Genomic DNA, 27087 nt, shown 5'->3' on the forward strand with positions numbered 1-27087 from the left:
CCACCTGGCTTTATCTTGGCAATGTTCTGAAATACATGCAATGAACAACTTGACATTGTTTGATGTTCTTAATTCTTTACAGCCATCTCTATGGGTGGTCATAATAGATAAGATCAATCAGAAATGATCATATTATGAAACATAAATCACTTCACATGACTTATCTGGAAAATGTGCTGGTACTTACTTGCACCATCATCTCAAGTTCCAAGAGCCAAAAACATATACATGCTCAAGGAGGAGAATTTCCTTTCTGATTTTAGAACAGTCTGAAAGGGGGTGAAAAAATGAAAAAGGGGGAGCTTACAAATAACAAAAATGTATATCCCAAGTGAAAATTAGAATGTCTATGGAACTAGTAGCAGTAACAACAGTAGACGAAAGATAGGCTGTAGATGTGAAGAAGATGTCTACAAGGGAAGCACAAGACTCCAAATGCTCTTGCTACTAAAACGCAGATTCAAGCTTTACCATCTGTAATACTCTGCTGCCAAGTACATCTATGGCCACTGGTACTGTCTAAAATGAGGATGTATATTATTAAATCATCAAAAAGGACTGCATAGCAGAAACTTTTCTGATATCAAGGGATCGACTTAACTACAATTATATACAGGTGCCAATTTCCTCTGGAGTAAACTACCACACGGGGCCTCATGTACCAGTTAGATAATCCAAGTCAGCCTTTATTGCATAACCTATCTAAAAGATTGGACTCTACATTCTGGCTCTGCAGAACTGAGAGAAGAAATGTATAAAAAGGATAGTGATATTGCCTTTGTCTATGGGAATTCTTGAGTCTAATAAAAAAATCTGGGAAAAACCTAACTTCATGATTACACTTGGGCACATAGGTGATTAATATGAATGAAGTAACAACCATAAATACAATCGTAACCACAAGAACAACAGTAATTCAATTTTTCTCACTTCATAGGTGTTCTTATGGTATCTTGTAGGTGCTCTCCGCAAGCCTCAGGTGTTCTTCCATAATCTCAGTTGATGCAAAGGCAAACACCACACTCTCCTCTGTTCAATGTCTGCCATCACTGTCTTTTTGGCCTCTGACTCTTCCCTATACTACTTTCTATGCACTTGAGATCTTCACTGACATAGCTGGGCTCTGTATTTATTGATAAGAGTATCTCTTTTCTCTTAGACTAGGCATGACCAAAAGGTTAATCTGGCTTCAAAGATTAATGACAATGACCACTCAGTTTTTATTCAAGATCAATTTTATTTGTTGTAAAAACAAACAAGCGTTATGTTCCAGACAGATATAAGTGAGTAGACTTATGCCCTGGTGCCTCCTTGGCTCTTCACAGGATGCAAAAACAAATCTTGCCAGCAGGAGGTGGCAGGCTGCAGAGGTGGCTGGTTGCTCTTTGAGCCATCTTGGCCTTGCCTGGCATGCACAGGTCCCAGCACAGCAAAACATTCAGGGAGTTAGAGTGTTGCACAAAGGATTTTACCAACCTCTCACATTAAGCAGCATTCAAGGATTTGCTGACCACCACTTATGCAAATTTTGTGTTATGCTATAGCAATGAACTTACTTGTTCTATTTCTAAACAAAATATTGGGTTCACACACAGGCCTGGACAAAGCTTCCCACTTCTGAACTATTTACTGATCTTCTTATTCTCAAAGAATGCAAGATGAATGATGTGCAATACCATGGCTATGGCATGTGACTTTTCTAGACCTGGATGGTTAGTGTCCCAATATTTAACTGATTTTTGGGGGGGTGAAAATATGCCATAAGTTCTTCCTTCTATCATCCCCATCACTACCATACATGTAATGGCATAATCATGTCACAGTGTGTCCTCAGAATCACTATTCCTAGCTGAGTATACTAAGGCTTTCTATCTAGGTCAGTTCATTGTGTCTGTGTCTCCTCTAAACCCTCCTTCATCATGCCTACCTCGAAGAATTCAGCAAGTGATCATTCACGCAAGCTAAAGGATTTTAGCTTTCTCTGCCATAAAGATTATTGCTAAAATACATACCATACAACAAACCAACCCACTTCCAACAAATCTTACTGACTTCTCACAGAATACATAATGACTTTTATTGTGTCTCTTCCTTCTGTGTTTCTCTTTCCTAACTGAACTTTGTTCTTTATCCATGCCTTCTTCCAATCCTGACATATTTTAAAACCTTTAGCATTTCTGCCTATAATATTTGGGTTTTCTTCTTTTCCTATCTTTATTTGATAAGTCCCGTCAAATATTTTCCCCATAATCACAATGTTTTCTTTTCACTTTGCTCAAGAACTGAGTTATGAGCTCCAAATTTGGACAAACTCTACATTGGCTAAGTTTTAGTCATTTGCACTGCTAAGAAAGATGACAATTCAGCATGCTGAAGATGATATCCTCCCTTATAAAGGGGCTAACACAGAGGGCAATACTGTTCGTGCTTCTGAGTCTTGATCACAAGAATTGCTTTAGGCAATTACAATCATGTCTCCTCTGACATATCATATTAGTCAAGTGAGACAGAGAAAGAATATGTCCTATGTCACACAGCTGGGTGGTGACAGCTGCTTTAGCATCAGCACACTGCGTTCCCTCTGATTTCTTCATTCATCTCTAAGTAGCAGTAAAGCCGGTCCTGAATACTGACTTTGACACTCAGCTTTCTCCACATCCTTCCTGTCACTGCCTTTGAGACTACTTCAGATTCTTCCCTTAACTTCTATTTCTCCATTTGTAAAATTGGGTTGATGAGGGTATCTTCCTTCGGTAGCTGTGACAATAAAAATGGGATCATCATGCATCCTCCTTAGCCCCACGAGTAAGCTCCCAGTAAGTGAGGCTGTCATCATTACTGGATATTTAAGATTCTTTACCTATTTGAAAAACCCTAGTGACAGAGTCTCAGTTGCTTTTCTTTTTGCGTGAATGATCACTTGCTGAATTCACCAAGCAGGCGCTTTAACATTTACCTTCCTTTATTATGCTGGAGCATTTTTAATGTAGGAGGCTTCTGTGGCTTCTCACTATGACTGCTTTGTTTGTTCAAAACTTATACAGGTTGAGTATCCTTTATCTGAAATGCTTGGGTCAGAAGTGTGTTGGGTTTCAACTGTTTTCAGATTTTGGAATATTTGCTTCAATGCAATGAGGTATCTTGGGAATGGGAGCCATGTCTAAACACAAAATTCACTTATGCTTCATACACACTTAGCCACATACACATAACCTGAAGGTAATCTTATACAATATTTTAAATAATTTTATGCATGAAACAAAGTTTTGAATGTGTTTTGACTGTGACCCATCACATGAGGTAAGATGTGCGGAATTTTCCACTTGTGGCATCATGTCAGCACTCAAAACTTTTGGATTTTGGAGAATTTCAGATTTTGGATTTTCAGAGTAGGTGTGTTCAATCTGTATATATGGGTCAGATTCAGTTGTCTCCTTTAATCTTTGGCTGAAGGAAGCCCTAAAGACTTTGGGGCCTCAATCTCCCATATGCAGTGACATTCTCAAAGCCATTGACTCAGCTTCTCACCTGGGTTTCCTTCCAGTGAGCCACAGATAGAAGTCATAGATGATGGCAGGGGCCTGCTGGCTGATGGCATTCCAGTACTGGGTTCTGAAGTTGCTGGTGGTGAAATCAGCATATGGCCTCGTCAAAGCTCTCTCAAATGGAATTGGAATTTCAAAGGTTGCCAAGACCTGGAAACCTGGGGGAAAAAAGAGAGTAAGTGCTAGAGGAGAATAGGAGAATATAAGCCCATCATAGTGGAAGGTATTTATAATGGGTCACAGCAATAAAGACGAAGGATTTGCTGTGTAGAGTCAAGAATCAATTTCTGAGAACAACGTAAAGATTTTTATGCTAGGCAAGTGGTTATCTGCAAAATGAGACAATGTGAATGGGTTAAGAATTGGACCCTTTATTTGAAACATCTACTCTAAAACAAATTCTTGGGGAAACATGTAGTCAATAAAAGGGGGTACTGTTCAGAAAAACATAAATCCACATTTAATTCTAAGGTTATCTAGTCTATTCTGAAAGCCCCAAGAAAGAGGCTAGAAACTTTATTTCCCTGGCTGGACCATTACTGTCAGAACCATTTAGAAAGTTTCTTAATATTTTATTTGAATCTTTATTAAAAGTTTAACTTAAAAATTCTAAAGGCAAGATTTTCTTGTGTTAGCTTACTTTAAATATTTCTCTGGGAATATGTAAGACTCAACTGTCCACTCTGGTATCCAGGGTTTTATCCATAGTAGTGTTTTTATATTAATACTTAGATTAAGCTGAACTAAGAACTGTTTACATACATTTGTGAATTCAGCAGTTCTTTTGAAAAGATACTCATTTGAATTCAATTTTATTTAAGGTATGTAGGTTTTTGCAAAGCATATGCCTAAGCTCATTATTCAATTATGATGTCAGTTATTATAGTAATACGATTATTGCCCTACTTAAAAAAATTGGCATTTTTTTAAAATCTAAAAATCTATCTGAAAAATATAACTCCTCTTCAGAGAAGATTCTCAAGAATCATCTGGTCCATAGGGATTTATACTTTAAAAAGATGGTGGTAAATAAGAAAGTTATGTACAGGTTGATAGCATAAGAGATTCTGATCTCAACACTGATGTTCTGATCTATATATCCATATACTTATTCAACATTTCCACCTGGAGGTGTAAGAGACATTCACATTTAACAGCTCTAAAATGGGCCTCCTGATACACCCACTGCTAACCACCCCCCTCCCAATACATACACAAACTTGCTATTTCACCAGTCTTCTACCTCTAACCAAATGCTAATTCAATTTGTTTAGTAGTTCAGCCAAAAACTTTGGGGTTATCCTTGATTCTTCTCTTTCTTTAACAACCCACACACAATTGAACAAAATCTATCAGCTCTGTTTGAAAAATACCCAGAATCATAATTACCACCTGCTATCTCTCTGATCCAAACCACTACTGTAGCCTGGAATGTTGCAATACTGTCCTAAGTGGTCTCTGCCACTACCCCTGTAACCCTAGTCGGACCTCCATGTAGCAGCCAGAGGGATTCTTGTAAAATGTAACTCAGAGTGTATTACAGGAACGTCCCCATTCAGAGCCCTTCAGCGGAATCTCTTCTCATTTAGAGGCAAAGCCATGGTCTGCAAGGGTTTGCACTCTCTGCATCCTCACTCTCTCTGCCCACCACTCTGACTTCACCTCTTACCGCTCTCCCTCTCGGTGCTTCTGCTGCAGCCACACTGGCCTCCTTGCTGTCCTTGAATATGATTAAAGAACTTCAGCACTTGCTATTTCTTCAACTTGGAATATTTCATCCACGTGTCCCTCTGATTTGCCCTCTCACTTCTTTCAGGTCTCTACTAAGATGACACCTTATCAGAGAGACTTTCTTTGGCCATCACATATTAAATAGCAGCCTTCCCACAATACTGTTTACTTCTTTAATCTGTTTTATTTTTCTGCAATCACTCAACCATATCTGATGTATATTTCTCCTTTCTAAGATTTAAGTATCATAACAAAATTTTGTCTGTTTTGTTTGAACCTATACAGTACCTTGAAAAGTGGCTGAAGGTAATCAGTGCCTAATAAACATTTTTTGACTAAACGAATCAATAGATATCTCAGCAACATACACTTACTTTCCTTTTCCTAAATCTGTATCAATCCTTCCTTTAGTCATTTCAAATATATTTATTTAGCATTTAACACTTGCCAGGCACTGTGGTAGATGCTGAGGTAAAAAAAAATTACATATGATATATTCTTTGTCTTTAAAGAACTGGCAGTCTGGTGGGAGATGTGGACAATTCATGATTACAATATTTTGCCTGAGTATTCTGCTAGAGGCCAGTACAATATGCTCTGGAGGAATACAAAAGAAGCATCTAGCTCTGTCTGGGTGCCAGGAAGGGGAGGGGTGGGGCTAGGTTTGGAAAGGCTTTCTAAGAAAGCTGTCCATATGGTAATAGCAAGCATTTACTAAAATGTTCACTGTTCTAACCACTGTACTAAGCACTTTGTCTCACTACGTTCTCCCAAGAGCTCCCTAGAATAGAATAATTATTATTCTCACTGACAGATAAAAAAATTCATCTACAGGGAGAAACTGAGAGACTTTTTCCAACTGATACAATAAGAGTGGAGTCTACTAAATGGTGGGACGCATATCAGCATATAACATCTATGTGAGCATGGATTTCTGTTTAGTGATATATCCTCAGCACCAAGAATAATGTCTATTTAATAAATACAGGAGTGAGTGAATGAGCTATGATTTGAATCCAAGTCTATTAGATCTCAAAGCCCAAGACTTTTAACCATTAAGCTAATGTCTGTCTGATGTGAGGGACAAGGAGAAACTCATGCACATGTAGAAAATGTAATTTGGCAATTGGAAACTGCACTCTACATCCTCATAGGTCAAAGAAGAAATTCAAATGAAAAATGTTGAAGGATTAGAGAGTAATGATAACATAAACATTATACAACAAAATGTGTGGGATACAGCCAAAGTGGCACTTGAGGGAAATATGAAGCCATAAATGATGTATTAGACAAGCCAAATATTCATGGGCTATATTTCTAAGTTAAAGAGAAGAAAAACATAATCAAAGAAAGCAGGAGGAAGGGGAAAAAAGAGATAAGGCAATACATCTATGCAATAGAAAAGAAAGCAGCATAATAAAGAGTCAATAGGCTGGGCGCGGTGGCTCATGCCTATAATCCCAGCACTTTTGGAGGCCAAGGTGGGTGGATCACCTGAGGTCGGGAGTTCAAGACCAGCCTGACCAACGTGGAGAAACCCCATCTCTACTAAAAATACAAAATTAGCCAGGTGTGGTGGCGCATGTCTGTAATCCCAGCTACTCTACTCAGGAGGCTGAGGCAGGAGAACTGCTTCAACCCAGGAGGCCGAGGTCGTGGTGAGCCAAGAAAATGCCATTGTACTCCAGCCTGGGCAACAAGAGCGAGACTCCATCTCAAAAAAAAAAAAAAAAAGAAAGAAAGAACAAAGAAAAAAGTCAATAAAGCCTGAAGAAGTTGGTTCTTTCAAAAAAAGAAATAAAATAAACCCTTTGGAGACTAGCTGAGAAGAAAAGAGAAGACACACAAATATTATGAATTAAAAAAGAAGCATAATTACAGATACAGTTTAGGACAAAAATATTAATATAAAAAAGAATGTAAATACATTTTAGAACAAACAAAATCTTAGAAAAAGAGACAAATATAATTTACTAAAACTGATTCCAACAGAAAATGAAGCCTGCAAAATTCTTTAACTATTAAAGACACTGAAGCAATAAAAAATCTTCTCACAAAAAATTATAAATCAAGATAATTTAAAGGTGCTTTTCCCAAGTTTTCGAGGAATACATTACTCCACTATTACAAAAGCACTTTCAGATAATAGAAAAACAAGGGAACTATATGATTAGCAAACTGAATTAAACAAAATATAAAAAAAGATAACATGGTATGACCAAGTTGGGTTTATCCTAAAAATGGCAGGTGAGTTTAATATTTGAAGTCTTCCGCTTAAAATGAGCAGCAAGACAATAATACCTACTATTGCCATTTTTATTCACCATTATAGTAGAAGTTCAACAAGAAGGCTGGGTGCAGTGGCTCACTCCTGTAATCCCAGCACTTTGAGAGGCGAAGGCAAGCGGATCATGAGATCAGGAGATCGAGACCATCCTGGCTAACACGGTGAAACCCTGTCTCTACTAAAAATACAAAATTTAGCCAGGCGTGGTGGTGGGTGCCTGTAGTCCCAGCTACTCGGGAGGCTGAGGCAGGAGAATGGCGTGAACCCAGGAGACAGAGCTTGCAGTGAGCTGAGATGGTGCTATCAACAAGAAAAATAAAGACCTAAAGCTTGAAAAAATGGGGATAATACTGCTATTTTTGCAGATTATGATTATGTTAGGAAATTATGAGGAAATTTTATACAATTGCTAGCAATAATAAGTTTAGCAAGATAGCTGAATATAAGGTCAATATACAAAAATCAATTGCATTTGACATCATCCACAAACAATTAGAAAATGTATTTTTACAAAAGACATTTAAATTAGTTAAAAAAAAAAAGCATCAATTACCTAGGCCCTAGGTATAAATCTGATAAAAGATGCTTAAGATCTATATGCAGGAGATTAAAAACTCTTCTTAAGGGACACTAAAGGAGACAATTCAATGGAGAGATAGCCCATGTTCACCCACCCAGCTGTCTATCACTCCTTGTAATATCACCTGAGACTATATATGCTCAACCTCCTGTTAACATGGCTACTGCTCCTAGTAGGAAGCATTTTTATCCCTCTGAAGAGTCCCCAATAGGAAACACAAATGAGTTTAATTTGAATGCAACATCAAATTAATAGTAATAGCTTCCAGAAATGCTGTGTTAGAAGGGAATCTAGAACAGAGCCTTGGCACAGGGATAACCAATGTCGTATCAGCCCGCAGTGTTTGCTATAGGTGTGAGAGAGGTAGAGGAAACATGCAGGCCAGGTATTTTTCATTGTGGAAAAGCATTTTTCAATTCAAACCCACAATATATAAATGAGCCACAGTGTCCAGCTGCCCTGCAATAGAACTTTCAGTGTGGTACCATGGCTTACCATTGGAATATGAAGAGCTAGTGGTACCTATGTAACAGGGATAGAAGGGGTGCGTTAGTTAGTAGGTACTAAGAAATTCTACAGAATAGCAAAACTCCCTACTTTTATCTTCTACCATCATTAGATGTTTAAGTTGTACTCAAATTGATTTCCATGGTTTTTGTACATTGATCAGATTAAATCCCTTACATTCAGACAAATTAATCATTTGTATAGTACAGGGTTTCTCAAAGACCATTTCCACAAGCATCAAGAAACATCTAGATGCTTATTAAAAATATAGTTTTCTCAGCATCACCCAAGACCTTGGTCACAGGGTCCAAGGAATCTGGCTGTTGTTTTTATTCTCCCATAGTGATTCCTATTCACTTTTACAAATCACTAGTAGAGTAGTTAATGCACACCCAAGAGAAACAAGTTGCATAAATTAGTGATCACTATTACACACTCAATAAGGAAGGAATAATATCACCCGACTTTTCTAAATCTCATTGGTCATTGATCACGTCGCATTCTCAGTGACATATCAACAAGGGAAGGGGTGTGTATAGGACCCACTGCCCCAGCAGGGAGGAGTATTTCAGTATTTTATCACTGAGATTCTTTATAACTGCCAACTTTTGCTTTATTTCATCATTGTTTTTTAAAATCTCTATAGCCAATGGACCCCCTACTGCTTACAATCATGTATGTGTTCCCAATGACTCCTTTCCTTGGTAACCACAGTACATTCTAGTTAACTACCACACATTTACAATTTCTCATTATTTTGTCTCTTTGCTTACTTTTTGTCCTCCTCCCCATGTAGGCTCTAATCTCCATGACACACTGTCTATTTCTTCTCTGTGTCAGACACTAGTAATTATGCAGTTACATGGCTAAAGTACTTACCCATTTTGCCCCGGTTGCAGGGATTGAGGTTACCAGATGTACAGTGGTAGACTAACACTGACTTAGGTCTGGAAAATGAAATAAAAATTAAATAAATACAACTGAATGAAAAACTAATGAAAGAAAAATAAGGGAAAATAATATTTAGACAGAGTGGCTTCAATAATTCATCTGATTAAAGCAACCTATGCAAGAAGGCTTCTGTATTTTTTTCTTTCTTTGGGTTAATAAGCAAAATGGAAGAAGACTAGCAAAAGGGTGTGTGCGGAGGTGGGGGGATGTGTGTGTGTGAAAGAGATGTTAAATAGGAGTGACATATTATGAAGCACATATGTACGAGTTCACATAAAAAAATTTAATTCTGTTTACCACATACTAACACAGCCAAATGTATGAACAACCTGTTTTTTTTTCCTTTGTACCAGGAAACTTCCCCACACATAGTGATTGAACACTTTTGGCATTAACCAGAGTTCAATTAAAGAAAATTCTCTCATTTCATCCACTTCTATCTCCTTTGCCCTAAAAAAGAAAGCTGAATGTTAAACTACTGAGTAGAAAGAAAAGCCTTTTGGTTATCAAGAATTGTATGGTTAAGTGATTTAAATGTTTTATTACTTTGTGAGTAGCCAAGTACTAAACTGTATTTTGAAAACAACTGAATGTATATATGATGGCATATTAGGAACTCTATAAAATACTGAAACAAACACCCTCTCACATTTGGGGTCTTGTACAATGAAATGCCTATATTTGGAAAATGTGCCTAATACAATAACCCTCCCTCTCATGACATCTTTGAAAGCCCACTTGAGCATCCACACCTGTGAACTGCAGCACACACACCATCCTACAGCTAGTGGGAGATTGACGGCTGTATCACCTGGAATTGGAATTAAGTCTCCCACAGCCATTGGAGTAGCTTTTATGGACAGAAGAAACCCTTTCCCAGCCTGCACAGGAAAAAGAACATAAAATGTGAAACCAGGTCTTAAGTAACAGCTGGGGCTAAAGTATGTATCATCAAACTGATTATACTAGTGCAATAAGTGAAAACAGCTAACATCGATCCACTGCTTAACAGGTTCCCACACTAAGTCTGACTTCGTCAGCCTATCCTAGCTTCCCAGCCAAGCGCATCTTCAGCATTTTCTTGAACTACTCGTGTTCCTCACGTTCCTTTAGGGAATAAAATTCCTCATATTTTTGAGATATTAATAAACTTAGTTAATTACCAAACACCAAGAATAAACCTTCACATTTAAAAAATTAACTCATAAGACACGTTAAGAATTAAGGTTACACAAATTCCCCATTAATGTTTGTTTTCCATTTCCTTAATGATTTTGTTTTCTGCTAGGGTTTACTAACCTACAAGCAATAGTAAGCACTAAAAGTTTAAGAAAGTTTTATTTGAACAAAAATTAATTTGTGAAATTCCACAATTAATGACAAAAACTTTTTTGGCTTAGAAAAATGGCCTTATTATTTACTTTTTCTTCAGAATCTCATTTCACCTCACAGATCACTGATGTTATATAGATACAAGAGTTTGGACTTATTTATGTTAATAATTTGTTGAGTTTATGAAATTCATTCTTTCTGCTTTGCATGTTTCCCACTTTAATTTGAAATGATTAGCACTTTCTTATGTTACTCAATTCTCTTTTCTTATAACTAGCTCCCCTTCTTTTGGACATAAGAAACCAATTTAGAACATTTTTTAAAATGTAAATAAATATACAGCTTTGCATATAATGAAAACCGCTTTGGGATCACGTTAAAATAATGATGTTCTAAGTCACCAAACTTCACCCCAACTGAACTTTTTTAGGAGAAAGAGTTGAAGGCAGGTGGGAAGCAGAAAGAAAGGGGCTGCTAGAAAAATCCGGAATTCGAAGGAAGGTCTTTGTCACTACCATAATTCATTGTCTCATATTTCTATTTGAATTCATGTTGAACCCAGCTCTGGTAGGAATAGAGACAGAGTCTGAAGAGCAGTCTGAATCCCTAATAAGATTTAAACTCATTTAGATCACTGATTTCCCATTCATTGTACAAAAGAGTAAAGTGGGGTTTAGGCCCTGAATGCCTCAGTGTGAGCTGTGAACCCCACAGCTCTGCCGGATCAATGTGGACTTCAGGGAGATGGGCACTGAGGGCTGCTCACCTAGAGGAGCCACGTTTCTCCTTGTAAGACATTATTGAAAAGGCGTTGCCGGCACATGTCTACCTATGTAACAAACCTGCACGTTGTGCACATGTACCCTAGAACTTAAAATAGAATAATAAAAAAGAAAAGGCCTTGCCTATATTCACTGATGTTTGTATTTGAAAAATTTGCCCCAATATTGGTAGTTCTTTCTTGTATTCATTAAGAATTATTGATGTATACCTGCTTTCCATATACACACATAAACTCTTCTATGTGTTTTATAATAACGAATTTAATAATCTTTGAAGATATTTTTACTGCATCCTCAATTCACTGCACTAATTCATGCAATTATAAACTGAAGAAAGGAGGAAATACCCCATCTTGCGATAAATAAAGCAAAATCCTTGGCAGAACCATGCCCGCCTGTCCGCGCCCCGACCAGCCCTCCCGGGCAGCCACTCACCGGTGTCCGTCTTCCCAGCTTCGCGCCATGTGGCCAAGTGAATCCATCCTGCCGTCCATCTCCACTTTCACCAGCCCGTACCGCAAGCGCCGCCTGCAGGTGCGCTGACCCCGCGCCCAGCCCGAGGCCAGGGGAACCCACAACTACCTCAACAGCGTGCGGGACTCCATTCGGTCCACAGGGCTGGATGGCCTGGGGCCGAGGCCACCCCGAAGCCCCCGGCGACCCCGCCGTCTGCGTCCTATTACCCGAACACTGCACACCGCTGCCCTACGGCGCCCTGGAGCTGGACCCACTGCCACATGGCCCGCGCTGCTCAGCTGGTTTTTGTTGTTGTTGTTCTTTTGAGATGGAGTCTCCTTGGGTTGCCCAGGCTAGAGTGCGGTGGCGCGATCTCGGCTCACTGCAAGCTCCATCTCCTGGGTTCACGCCATTCTCCTGCCTCAGCCTCCGGAGTAGCTGGGACTACAGGCGCCCGCCACCGCACCCGGCTAATTGGTTTTTGTACTTTTAGTAGAGATGGGGTTTCACCTGTTAGCCAGGATGTTCTCCATCTCCTGACCTCGTGATCCGCCCGCCTCAGCCTTCCAAAGTGCTGGGACTACAGGCGTCCACCACCACGCCCGGCTACTTTTTTTTTTTTTGTATGTTTAGTAGAGACGCGGTTTCACCCTGTTAGCCAGGATGGTCTCCATCTCCTGACCCCGTGATCGGCCCGCCTTGGTCTCCCAAAGTGCTGGGATTACAGGCGTGAGCCACTGCGCCCTGCCTGCTCAACCGCTTTCAACTGGCGCTGCCCAGCCACCTGGTCAAAGCCCAGCACCCTGAAGCAGATGGCGGCAGCTGCGGCTGCGCACCCAGGTTCAGGTATGCATCGCGCGTCCTCTCAAACACTAGGGCGCCCCGGGCCTGCAGCTTCATGCATGCGAGGTCCCGGGTCCCTCCCATTCCGCCCCCAACACCTGCCCCTCAGCCCCTACGACCCGCACGCCTCCTTCCCGCTGCCCTTCCGTGGCCCTGGTTTGGGACACCCAGCCCGGCCTTCATGAGGCGCCCCCCGCCCAGCTCCGCCCCTCCACGCCCCTGTCTTTAGTCTCTTAGGCGGTGGCCGCCGCCGCCACAGCCCTGGGCCTGGCACCCCCAGTCGCCCGCGGCCTCCTTGTGGTGGCACCGGCGTCCCCGCTGGAGCTGCTGGAGGCCACGCCCAAGCGTGGCAGCTGCTCCTGGCCTGGGAACTGCAACACCAGGCATACCTATGTGGCTACGGCCAGACCTACAGCAAGAATTCTCCCCTGCAGGCACATCTGCGCAGCACACAAGTGACAAGCCCGACCACTGCCACTGGGATGGAAGCAGCTGGAAGTGTGCTCACTCAGACAAGCTAACGCTCCACCACCACAAGCACAGGGGCCACCGGCCATTTCAGGGCCATTGGTGCCACCACGCCTTCTTGCGCTCTGCCCACCTTGCCCTGCACAGGAAGCGGCACATGCAGCCCAGAGGCCTCCCCACCTGCACGCGGCCCCCTCCCAAACTGTGACTGGTATTTATTGCACCCAGAGAACTCGGCAGGGCGGTGTGGCTCCATAGGGTCTACCTCGACGACGAAGACGGCGCCACCGCCCCAGCCCCCATCTGTGACTGAAGACCAGGTGGGAAAAGACCACTATCCGCCTTGACGAGTTCTGTTTTTCAAAATGGTGCAATAATTAAGTGGCATCTTCCCTCCCACGGGGCATAAGACTTGATGTCCTTTGAGAAATAAGGGCCTTAATTTGTACTGTCTGCGACATTTTTTATAATATTGTACATAATAACTGGGACAGATATTGTTATTACTGTACATAGAGTGGCAGGGCTACTTGCCTCATTTTCCTAAGACTTTTGCTTCTTTTATTTTTAATTTTTAAAAAAGTTTTTTTTAAAAAGAAAAGAAAAATCCTTAATTCTCACTTTTCAAAATAGAACTCTTAAATAGTAATTGATAGCACTTTACCTCTGTTTTCCTGATAAAAAAAATTCTAAAAGAATAAAAACAATTTCATCCTGCCCCCATATTATAACCAGAATAATTGAAATAATATGCTTCAATTGATAGTAAAGTAGCATTTATGTTTTTGGATCAATGAAGCTAAGCCAGCACTAAGAATTTTCTTACTATTCCTCCACTACATTACAGTTACTTCCTCATCCCTATACATACCGCAATAATGAGTCAGCTACATCCATTTAGATTATCAACCCAACCCTAAAAGAAAGAAAATTTCCATTGGTTACACATTTCAGAAAATTGTTGTATCTTTGGAACATCTGCCGTCTAATCTTAATAAATTTCAAACAAGGGCACTGAGACTCCAGCCGATAGAACTATCTAATTCAGTATTATTAAGATCCCAAAGATCAATGGCAAAGCGTTGGCTATTTTCTGCAGTTTGTGCAAGAATTAAAATTTGGCCAGGATTGTTGTTTGTAGCAGGAGTCATGAATGGTTTTGTGGTGTTTTATGACAACTTAAGGGCTACAATGGACCTTGTCCTTATATCATGATCTGCTAAGCAATTCACCAACCATACTTCACCTCATTCCTGATTTTAGCCTCCTTAGGAGAACATTGAAAACATGATTGGTAATAATGTGTGTTGACTTGCTTAAAGATGTTACAGGAAAGATTATGCTTAAGAGTAGTTAGAGGGAAATGTCTTTTTGAGTTTGTTTCCTAAGCCCTAAGCCGTCTCTTTACCTTACAGTATAAAAGTCGAAATGCATATAATGGGAGACCAGATATACGGGAGGAGAAGATGAAGGGACTAATATTCGTTGAGCCTTTTAGTAGGGATCTACCTTTTACTAGAGACTGAGCACTCCTCATACATTGTCTCATTAAACCAACTCTCCAAAGTAGTATCTGTCCTGTTCTACCGAAAGAACAACTCAAAAATGTTGCATTGCCAGTAAGTGGTGGAGCTGGAATGTATCTGCCCCCAAAGCTTCACGGACTTGCTTTGAAGAAGATGGTATAATTCAAAGTACTTTCAAAAGGACATAGCAGTATACTGAGGTTAAAAAAAATTAGTATTCCCAAACTGAGATCCTTCTGTGAGCTTTGTAACCCTGGCAGTTAGTTGCAATACTACCAATTTGGCCATCAAGAACATTCTGATATGTTTAAGCTACAGTGGGAAAGCCAAGATATGAAAACATCACCCATGGGAATTTTGAGACTAGAGTAGTTAGAAGCTAATTTAAGATCTCCATCCAACTCTAAGATAGGGTAACTGCCAGAAGAGCCACATGATCCCAAAGTGGAATTTTGCCCTAGTATAATGGGTTAATATTTGATTGGCTGCACTTAGCTATAAATCCTGAGGAGAAGAAGAAGAAGAAAGACATCAGAAAATAATTGGGCTAGAAGAACCTTAGTTTGAAGGCAAAACACAGAATCCAGGTAAGTGGGCTTACCAGGAAAAGCTGGTGCGACGTTGCTCCGCACAATGGAGGGCCTTAGGATGGCAATGGTTAGGTTCCTGCTCTCCTGCTGCACCACCATTTCTCCCAAGGCCTTGCTATAGGTCTAAGTATTGGGACAATCTCCAATCCGCTTGGGAGTGATCTCGTCAATAATGGCGTTGTCTATACATAAAAGGTAGTCAGAATAAAAAGAATTCTAGCAACATGTGTTAGACAATAGACCAAAAGGAAAATGTGAGACACAGTCAAACAAAACTTCCACCTTTTAGCCTTGGTTCTGGAATTCAGAACAGTCACATGATACCAAGTTTGAGTGCATACCTGTCCAAAGCATGCATGAGCTCTTTTGTTTTCACTGCTAAGCCCAATCTTACAGTCAAATCCTATGCCCTCCTATCCAGACAGGTAGGTAGGTAGACGGATAGAATCAATAGCGATGCCACTTTATTACTACTACTAGTGTAGGGCTATTAATACTACTTTAGCGCTACTATTACTTTGTCAGTGCTAATTACTACTTTATCTGTAGCAGTATTAATTTGAGGTAATTACATACAACCTCTTTACTTCCTTTCCAACAAGGTCGTAAGTACATTCATTGCACATATTTTTGAGTCCCAATCATTCTCCCAGTAGTGTGCTGGAAGCTGTGTTCAGGGAGTTTGAGGCTCTCATCCAAGGTGTTTCAGTGGCAGCCCTGTTCAGTGTTGTCCTATAGAAACCCAGTGCAGTGATCCTGAAGAGTTTAGCTTTACATTTTAAAATTTTCATTCAATGCAAATCAAACCAGAGTGATTACTTTTGGCAGACTGACAATCTGTTTTACCAAATCTATGTAATGCATTTTGAAGGTCTGTTTAGAGTCTATGATAACAAATTGCTAATTATTTCCAGAGATTTTCAATGAATTCTGAAGTCTGTCAAGTGTGGTGATTATAGTACTCTGAAATTGCTTCAAAACCATGAATATTGAATACTCCTACTTACAAGATGACATGTATCATCAATAACTGAGTTACCATAGCATCAGCCTAAACTTTCTTAAAAATATGTCAGAACCAGCCGGGCACAGTGGCTCATGCCTGTAATCCCAGCATTTTGTGAGGCCATGGCAGGCAGATCACGAGGTCAGGAGATTGAGACCATCCTGGCCAACATGGTGAAACCCCGTCTCTACTAAAAATACAAAAATTAGCTGGGCATGGTGGCGTGCGCCTGTGATCCCAGCTATTCAGGAGGCTGAGGCAGGAGAATCACTTAAACCAGGGAGCAAAGGTTGCAGTAAGCTGAGATCTTGCCACTGCACTCCAGCCTGGTGACAGAGCAAAACTCCATCTCAAAAAAAAAAAAAAAAAAAGTCAGAACCATTTGATAACCCCAAAATCTATCTACAACTCTCTGAGAGAGCAAAAAAAATTATTGTCAATTAAATATGCAACATGTATTCTAGCTGACAGATCTATGTGGTTAAATTGTTAATATAACATAGCTTTTTAAAAATTAAGCTGTCGGAATATGCTAGGGTGATTTTTCTGATCAATGTGGTCCATTTATTTCTATTTTATACAACAGAACATAACTATACTATTTTGATTGTAGAAAATCTTCACTGTTACCACCTTGCTGACATGACACATTTTTGAACAACTAAGATGTGCATGAGGTTAAGACTCATTCAGAATCACAACTCTCAATATTAATGCCTCATTTGATCCTGGGGTAGAACATGGGCATTGACCATTATGTTTCCATTTTTCTTCCTTTGCTTCTGAGTGCTGAGTGTCTTCTGGATACTAAATGTCTTTTCATTTAAGTTGAATAGAGAAAGATTGAGGGGTTCTAGAATTAAAAACTTAAACTACATAGAAATATCAAGGATATTTTAATTATATGGTCACCTGGGGGCTGGGAAAGAGCATAGGATGATTCATACATCTCTCAATCTTAACAATAATCCTACCGTTACCTCATTTCATTTCTGTGTCAACAGTGGATTGACTGACCTAAGACCATTTCCCCTCAACTGCAAAACTATACAGTTTATGAAAACCAGGTCTTCAGGGAATAGAGCTTAATTTCAATAAGTCTGTAAAGAAAAAATTCCTAGAAAACATCAGAGCCCAAAAATGTACTGGGATTGTATGTCAGATGGCTAGTACCAGTTGCTGTCATTAATGTTGGGGCAGCCGGAAAGGATAATACTTGGAGGGATGGGGGCCTTATAAAGCTTAGTGAGTTTCCTTGTATTAGAAAATGTTGGGTTTTGTTGTTGTTGTTCTTGTTGTTTGTTGTTGTTGTTGTTGCTGTTTTGAAATGAAGTCTTACTCTTGTCGCCCAGGCTGGAGTGCAGTGGCACAATCTTGGCTCACTGTAATCTCCACTCCCCGGGTTCAAGCAATTCTCCTGCCTCAGCCTCCTGAGTAGCTGGGATTTCAGGTGCCCACCACACCTGGCTAATTTTTGTACTTTTAGTAGAGACGGGGTTTCACCATGTTGGCCAGGCTAGTCTCGAACCCCTCACCTCAGGTAATCTGCCCGCCTTGGCCTCCCAAAGTGCTGGGATTCCAGGCATGAAAAAATTTTGGTTTTATAGATTTCTAACAACACACATGGAAGAAATTTTAATATTCTATAGATGGCTTACCTCTGCTACTCTTAGCTGCACCTGTATTCCACTGTTTTATATTCTCGTTCCAATTTTACTTGTGAAAATGGCAATAATTATATTCATTCTAAATTCTCAGGTTATGAGGGTAAACAAAAATATTCACAACTGCATTTAAGCTGTTTGATAAAACAAAATGAGCCAATAAACCTAAGGCACTCCTATTTTTAGATAAAACAATCGGAGAGCATCATATATCTGTGTACGTAATAGTTGGTTTTAAAATGTCATTTCTGGCCATATGTGGTAGCTCAAGCCTGTAATCCCAGCACTTTGAGAGGCCAAGGAAGGAGGATCGCTTGAGTCCATGAGTTTGAGACCACCCTGGGCAACATAATAAGACCCAGTCTCTACAAAAAAAGGTTTAAAAATTAGCTGGGCATGGTGGTGTGCACCTGTAGTCCCAGCTATTCAGGAGGCTGAGGCAGGAGGATTGCTTGAGCCTGAGAGTTGAAGGCTGCAGTGAGCCATAATTGTGTCACCATACTCTAGCCTGGATGACAGAGTGAGACCCTGTCTCAAAATGAATGAATGAGTAAAACAAATAAAAATAAATTATCATTTATAATGCAGCCAGACAGGCCATCTGCTAGCTCATTCAGCCAGTTCCTAGGTTCAGACAGGAGATTAGTGTAAACATGCACATGCACTGATTGGGCAAAGCCCTTCTCAGGACTTTCACTCAATTCAGGGTTGCTGCTGCTGTTTGTTCTCAATATGTTTTTAAACAGTAAATAAGTTACCATGGATAAAAAACACTATATAAACCAAAATACGTGTCTGAAATTAATCCAAATGTTCTTCAGTATACTCAAGAAGATGTTTTGACCCAGGGGTCTCAAATTCTAAACTCGAATTGCTTCAGAAGAAGCATAAAGTCATTGAAAATTTCAGAAAGCAATATGTATGTCTATGTATGTACATACATAGACACATATACAATTTCTTCCAAAGATTACTATCAATTTTGCTTTCAAACTTATTGAATCAACATGATGATATCATTAATGGTTTCATTATTTATGTATTTATGGAATGAAATACTAAGAAGCATATGCATTTCCCATCCCCTGACCCTCCAATTTTATCTCATTCAACAAGTTGGCAAGCCTAGTGGTTTATGAGTAAATCTGTTAGAGAGTAAGTAGTGGACACACTGTCTTATGATAACGTTTGCTCTCTTTCTCCAGTCTAAATTATATAATTCACTTGATTGTTGTAGTTATCAAGTTGTATTTGTTCATCTGTCTGTCTGCCCACTAGACAGTGAGTCCAGGAGAGCAGGGATTATGATTTTTATCTCTGTGTCTAATCACTTTTCTGCCCCCAGGAGCCAGCTACCTTATTCAGTAAATGGATGCTCTTCCACATGGTAATCTTGATTGGCCAATTTCTGTACTATATAAGGTTTTGGGAAGCAGAGATGGACAATGATGAGACAGAGTGGATGTACTCAAAAAAAGACAAGGTTGTAGGGAGAATGCAGGAAAGGAAAGAAGGGGGTATCTTTGTACAGCAGGTAGCAAAATTGGAAGTCAAAGTGTCCAGTGGCAGTGGTGAAAAGTGTTGACCAACCTCGGTTTGATGAAGGTGGCGTGAAAGTCAACTTAAACTTTTCACTGGGAAGCAGGATATTTCTGAGCCTAATGCTTATGGAGAATTGCCCTCTGTATTTCCCTCCAGACTTTCATGAGGCACCCAGCTTGGCCCAAACATGAGCCAGATGCTGAATAGCCTACCAATGGCCTGCCAATGTGAAAATTATTCAGTTTGGCTAAGAAACAATTTACTCATATTCTGGTTTGTATTTGAAGCCTGCTAATATCAAAGTACACAGAATTTTCATTTTTATGTCAGCTACTTAGATGTCATTTTGAAGCTGTGCCATGATGAAATTAAAAACACAGGCCTGGCACAATGGCTTATGCCTGTAATCCCAACACTTTGGCCAAGGTCAGGAGGTGGAGAACAGCCTGGCCAAGATGGCGAAATCCCATCTCTACTAAAAACATAAAAATTAGCCAGGCACACTTGCGGGCACCTGGAATCCCAGCTACTCGGGAGGCTGAGGCAGGACAATAGCTGGAACCCAGGAGGCAGAGCCTGCAGTGAGCTGAGATCACGCATTGCACTGCAGCCTGGGAAACAAGAGCAAGACTCAAATCTCAAACAAACAAACAAAAAGCACAAGTGCTAGAGTCAGCTTTCACCATTCCCCTAGAACAGATCATCTTTTTCAGTGTTAACAATGTGTTCTATAGCAGGAAGTCAAGACTACTGTCCAAGGTCTGACCTCCTTTGATATCTCCTGGAGGGCTGTGATGAGGGCCACTGATGCTGGCTGTTGGGGTCTCCATTTCCCTGCCTCTCACCCCTGCGCCTTCAGGGCACACGCCACCTTTCCTTTTTTACATGGCAGACTAGCTGTGTCTTCTGGTGGCCACGTAGCTTCAGAAGTGTGGTTTTTAGTAGGTACAGATCTACTAGGAACTTTCATTCAATTAAAGCTTCTAGGAACTGAAAAACAACAGGAGACAAAGAGAGCAGGAGAAAGAGGAAGCATGGGGTATTAGAAGATAAATGATCCTCTTTTCAAATGAAGACTGCTTAATGAAAAATCTCCTTAAGGCACAATTTCCCAAACTTGCCTGGTCATCAGTGTGAATTACACAAGGCCCCTGGGAAAAATCCAGACTCCTGGGTGCCATTTTAGAACCACTAAATACATCTGCAGAAGTAAGAGTCTGGATAATCTGTATTTTCAACATGGCCTGGAAATTCCAACTGTCAGGTAAATTAGGGAATCACTAATTTAAAAGAAGTCCACTCCATCAACTTAAGTCGTTAAGATTTGAATATATCAGGATTAGCTCTCAAAAACACATTGCTTCTTGGAGTAAACATTTCAACAGAATTGAATTTTAAAATTATTAAATCCCCTAATGCTATCCCTCCCCCACTCCTCTAGCCCCCCACCCACTGACAGGTTCCGGTATGTGATGTTCCCCTCCCTGTGTCCATTTGTTCTCATTGTTCAGCTCCCACTTATGAGTGAACATGCGGTGTTTGGTTTTCTGTTTCTGTGTTCGTTAACTGAGAATGATGGCTTCCAGCTTCATCTATGTTCCTGCAAAGGACAGGAACTCATCCTTTTTTATGGCTGCAGAGTATTCCATGGTATATATGTGCCACATTTTCTTTATCCAGTCTATCACTGATGGGGATTTGGGTTGGTTTCAAGTCTTTGCTATTGGGAACAGTGCCGCAATAAACACATGTGTGCACGTGTCTTTATAGTAGAATGATTTATAATCCTTTGGGTATATACTCAGTAATGGGATTGCTGGGTCAAATGTATTTCTGGTTCTGGATCCTTGAGGAATCACTACACTGTCTTCCACAATGGTTGAACTAATTTACACTCCCACCAGCAATGTAAAAGCGTTCCTATTTCTCCATATCATAATGTAGCACCAAATGTAGATAAGCGCCTAATGTAGATGAGAGGTTGATGGGTGCAGCAAACTACCATGTCATGTGTATACCTATGTAACAAACCTGCATGTTCTCCACATGTATCCCAGAACTTAAAATATAATAAAAAAAGATTGAAAATTTTAAATTTTAATACAAAATTAGGACTTAGTTATTTGCAAAATACACTGTATTTTCAATGTGAAAAACAAAGGGTTATCGTATGTATTATCAATAAAGTTATATAGTTTTCCATAAAAATAACATTAATAATGGAAAATTCTAAAAGAAAAATAATTAAATTTCTTTTAGGACAATTTAAAAATGTATCTGTCAATTTTAACATGAAAATTCTCTTACATTTATACATCCCACATTCTAATAAGGACTAATTTTTATGAGCAGTAAAGAAATGTGTGTATGCGTGTCTGTATACTTATAGGTATATATCTGTTTCTGTGAAAATCTCTCTTTTAGAGTCAGAAAATCTGTTTGGTCCCAGTTCTTACTAATAATATATGATCTCACTAAAGATACTTAAATTCAATAAACTCAATAAACTTTACTCTCAATGAGGTAAGAATGAGAACACAGGTGCCAGCCATGAGCTGCGGTTCCACTGGCACAGGCTTCAGAGATCCTACCTTTAACATCCTCCTTTCATTCATTTGAGCCTGATAAGAAAGGAGTCTCTTGGGAGAGAAGCAAGCATACACCTTGGGGCCAGACAGCCCATGGTCAAAGTTGAACTCCACCACTGTTCAGCTGTGTGACTTTGGGCAAGTGACTTTTCCTCTCTGATCCTCATGATCCTTTTTGGTAAAAACAGCAGAATGACAGGTCTATGAAGATTGGAGGAAAGAAAAATGTGTGTCTTAGTTTAAGTTTCCTGGAAGTAGATCCTGAGGCAAAGATTCAAGTATAAAAATTTTATCTGGAGATGACTCCAGGACAGTAATTCTACTGTCAGTTCTTCCTTAGAGTACTAATTGCAGGCAACACCAGTAGAGGAGTGGGGAACTGAGACAGGAATGGAATGTAGCAGTTAAAGGGACCTTCATCAAGAAAGTTTCCACTGTGGGCAGCCAGGACTCAGCCCTGCCGGGTACCTCTGAGAGACAGCATAGAACATGTGCCTCAGAGTCATCCCACCCAGAGCAAGGGAGTTGGATTATTTATCCACCAATACACACCAGTCACTCCTCAGGGCTTCGTCCAAGGACATGATTCCTCCAGAATGCCCTGCCTGCACTGCAAGAATGAGACCTGGAGGGTCAATGGCAAGAGCCCTGACAGCGCCTCCAGCAGTGAGCAGGACCACAGCCTGGTGTGGAGAGTTTCAGTCCCTCAGTGACCCCAACACACACACACACACACACACATTCTCACACACACACACACACACACACACACCATACTCCAACACCAACAGAGAACATACACACATACACATACATGCATAGATGACTGTTACCCACTTACATCCTGGTGAATCCATGGGATAGAAGATAAGGTGGGAATCAGAGGGAAAAGCAAAATTAAGGGGAGTGAGGGTCTTGGGAACAAAATGAAAATATAGGCAGAAAATCAAGGGGGAAGAGTGCTCTGGACACCAAACGCCTGCTGGCTGGCACCTGCTCTACATACACTGTCAGTCATTCTCCAAGCAATCTCGTGGAGTCGAAGGAATTCCCCTCAATTACAGATGGTAGAAATGTAGTTCAGAAAAGAAAACTGATTTTACTAACTGATTTTACTGCTTCTGGGTTCTGCTCCTTTTCTTGCTAGGCAATCATGACAGAATTGACAAAAACATTTTCCCCCTTCACCACCTGGAGCAGAGCCAATGAGAGGGGCTGGGGAACAGGCCATGAGGCCCTGCACCCACCATTCAATGTCTTCAGGATTAGGACTCTTGCATCACAGGCTGGCAGCACTCCCGATGTCTGGGTGTTTTGTGAGGTTGTACAGGATCTAGTAGAGGCCACTGGCTCTGCTGTCATATCCTAAGAGGCAGCCAGGCAGACTTGGGTCTCTTGGCTGCTTCAGCACCAGAGGATGAACAGCGCCCATACACTGAGGCTTTGGGGAGAATGGGAGGAGGGAAAGGAAGGGCAGAATGGAGTGATGTAGGGTCCATCCATCATATCCCTGGATGGAGAGACCCCTGTTCCCACAGTAGTCCCACACCGGGACCACCACCAGCACTCATGAATATGCCAGCCTCCATTTATATGTCCTCGTCTGACAACTCCTTCCCATTTTCATCCTGGAGGCAAGACTCTGAACACACTAGCTCTGAGGACACCTGTGTGTAACCTGAGACAGTCCCTGAAGACCTTTCATCCAAGCAGGATCCCTCCTTTGCCATCTCCAGACCTGCCCCACAAGCTCCCTCCCTGGTCTCCTGGCTCTTGTTCACTCCTTCCAGGCAGCCTTCTATAGTCATCTCGAAAACATAGCTGACTGTCACTCCTTTATCCAGCACCTTCCATGGCTCCCCAGAGCCCTCCAGATCAAGTTCAAGTACCTTGATCAGACACTTGATCTCAAGCTCCATTCTACCTCCTGAATTAAGATCCTGGAGAAGCCACCTTGCTCAGCACAAGCGCATCAATAAAGTCCGAAGCCTTGAATGTGGCCTTGGCCTTGAGGAAGTCATCAACACCCTGGCTAGTGAGGGTGCGGTGCTGCTGCAAGATGATGGTGTCTGAAGTTGTGCACCAAGTCACAGGCCCTGCAGAAGCATCGCCCCTCAGGAATGGGTAGTACAGGAAGTCCAAGCACAGGCAGATCTACTGACGCCGTTACACTATGAGGGTACTGAGCTCCAAGATGTCAGCAGTATGTTCACTGGCATTCCTGCAGGGTGAGGCTAGGGAGAGGAAGCAGCTCCGTAACAGATATGAAACTCTGGAAGCCCTTCCCAGCCAAAATCTCTGGACCACATTACACCCAGAAATGGGTGCCCTCTCAGCACACTTCTCTCTGCCTCCCTCTCTGAGCTGCCTCCTGGCCCCACATGCCCCAGCCTGGACCAGGGCTTGGAGCCCAGCAGGTGTTCAGTTCATGGTGTTGACTGCTTCCTGGCACAGGAGAGCCCTTGGTAGCTCTGTGACTCCTCCTGTGGAACCCCTGCCTCTGCCTCAGGACCTCCCTATTCCCATGGGAAGACCCCAAGGATTGCCCCACCTGCCCAGGGATCCTCCAACCCCATAGGCCTTACTTGATGCCTTATCCCTCCCAGAACATGACATGTTTCTCACAAGGTGACTTACTTCCAAGGCCATCTGTGGATGTTTGCTGGGGACCTCTTGCTGTTCTCCTTTATGATCTGTAGGGCAGGACCAAGAGGAGAAACCAGCCCAACCTCAGAACAAACAAAGGCTCACTGCCACAAATGGCAACCACCAAACAGTCAGCAGTGCTTCTGGGAGGAAAGGAGGTTTCATTCCGCACAAAGCTCCTTGTTTGGTTTCTTTCTGAATCCGGGGAGGGGTAGGTACCAAGCCCAGCTTACCTGTGGTGTCTACATTACCATCTGTGCCTAGGATGTGCAAAGGGCCCCTACTCCCACCGCAGGGTTGACGTTCCCTCCAGCTGGAGACCTGGGCTCCTGACACCGCCTGGCCTGTTTGTCCTGCTCTGGATGAGCGGGGAAAGGCTGTAGCTGGTATTTCCCTAGGTCCTTGGTTTCTACCACCTAGACATCCAGCAGGAGTGACCATGTCTAGCACCACACCTGAAAGGGGACTCCCTTGTACAGCAGCCCAGACATCTACAGATGGAAGAGTGCTCAGTGAGACAGGCCACAGGGGTCCCCAGGGAGGATCAGGGGGTGGAGGATTCTGGAGGTTTCCAGCCTTGGGCTCTGTGGTTCCTCAAAGAGGTTAGGTCTACCTAGTACCAGGCCTCCCCTCCCACGATTCAAAGACTGAATGAGTGTCCAGCATCAGGAACTCTGTTCTGGACCTGTTTTTTCATTTAGGTCACCAAGGGACAACCCCTAACCCGAGCTAGGGATGGTCCAAGCTCTGGCATGAGATTTTCCTCCAGCAATGTGATGCTTACAGGGACAGGTAGAAAAGCTGGTGACCAGGCCTGCTGTCCTCTGGTTAAGGAGTGTGCCACCCACCCTCTGAGAGGCAGGTGGTGCCAGGCCACAGCACTGGGTGCCTGTACCCCTGGCTCTGCAGACACCGGTCATGGAGGTCCCTCCCTCCACATTACCTTCTTGCTGCTCCTAGATTTCTTCTAGTCATTAAGCACTTTGAGTCACTTTTCTGTGCATCCAATTTTACATTTTTGCTCTCAGATGAAACAGGATAAAGTATGCTGAGCTGCCAGGATTCCTGGAGGGGACCTTGGATGCTGAGTCTTGGGATCCAGGGCCCTGATGGGACTGAATCAGAAGGAGCCAGGGAAAGACAAAGATTGGGGCTGAGCCCCTATGACCCAATGGCCATTGGTGGCCTGGCCTTATGGTCCCAAGACACCTTGTTCTCAGGCCAGAAACACCATGGGCTTTGGTCGGGTCCCAGCCTCCCAGTAGTGTCCTGGCACTAGCAGGAGCTGACCCCTGAGCCACAACCGCAGTTCTGGGTTTGGGATTTGGTAAAACCACCTCAAGGACAGAGTCTTGGGATCGGGTTTGCCAGGAACCATGGTGCCTCCCAGAGATGGTGTGTCATTCCCACTCGCCACGAAATGTGCACACAGGCTGTCCCCATGTCCATCCCATCCCGCTGGACAGGATGGAGGAAGTCAGGGAACAGGCATGGTGGACAGCTGGGGTGCAGGGAGAGGCAGGTGCATGCTGGGAGGTCAGACCCTGCGAGGGCTGTGGAGGCATCAGGTGGAGTGGGCTCCAGGTGCACCTTCAGTGTACTGGGCACGTCTGAGGCCAGGCTCACTGGACCCTGGACGTGTGATGTGGTCAATCACTGGGGGAATGTTGTCAGGTCCCAGCCACCCGCCCTGGGCAGCACTGTCTCATCTCAGGACTGGACTTTCTGAGTCCTAAGACAAGACAGTGCTGCCAGGCCTCACAGCCTGGGAGGACCTGTTAAGTCCTCCATCCCTAGACTAGCCTCCCAACAGCAGGGACAGTCTCTTATCTTCACCTTCAGGGAACTGACTGATCCATCTCACTCTAAGCCAGTCGAGGCAGAGCTGAGGACCTGCACCAGTCTGGGAGCCAGTCCCCTCCCCAAATGGGCCTGAGGGAAGCACCATCCCTGTCCCAATCTGCCACAAGTTTCAGCCTAGGAGACACATGGGGAAGGGAGGATGGGGCATCCCTGCTGGCTGACACTGGAAAAGTGGGACCT

General features: G+C 42.2%; 3 pseudogenes across 1 annotated transcript; 1 reads left to right on the plus strand and 2 right to left on the minus strand.

The window, feature by feature from the left end:
• Window positions 1-1217: 1217 nt before the first annotated feature.
• Window positions 1218-26351, minus strand: FAR2P1 (fatty acyl-CoA reductase 2 pseudogene 1; annotated as a pseudogene). Its single transcript, NR_026758.2, has 12 exons — window positions 25036-26351; window positions 24288-24632; window positions 23646-23839; window positions 22402-22599; window positions 20577-20800; window positions 15610-15780; window positions 14354-14398; window positions 10354-10482; window positions 9931-10051; window positions 9530-9597; window positions 3529-3703; window positions 1218-2757 (listed from the first exon to the last, which is right to left on the minus strand). The product of NR_026758.2 is annotated as a fatty acyl-CoA reductase 2 pseudogene 1 (transcript).
• KLF2P1 (Kruppel like factor 2 pseudogene 1) lies at window positions 13238-13842 on the plus strand (annotated as a pseudogene).
• CYP4F27P (cytochrome P450 family 4 subfamily F member 27, pseudogene) lies at window positions 23646-24660 on the minus strand (annotated as a pseudogene).
• Window positions 26352-27087: the final 736 nt, after the last annotated feature.

This window comes from Homo sapiens, chromosome 2 (assembly GCF_000001405.40).
Source record: "Homo sapiens chromosome 2, GRCh38.p14 Primary Assembly".
Classification (NCBI taxonomy): domain Eukaryota; kingdom Metazoa; phylum Chordata; class Mammalia; order Primates; family Hominidae; genus Homo; species Homo sapiens.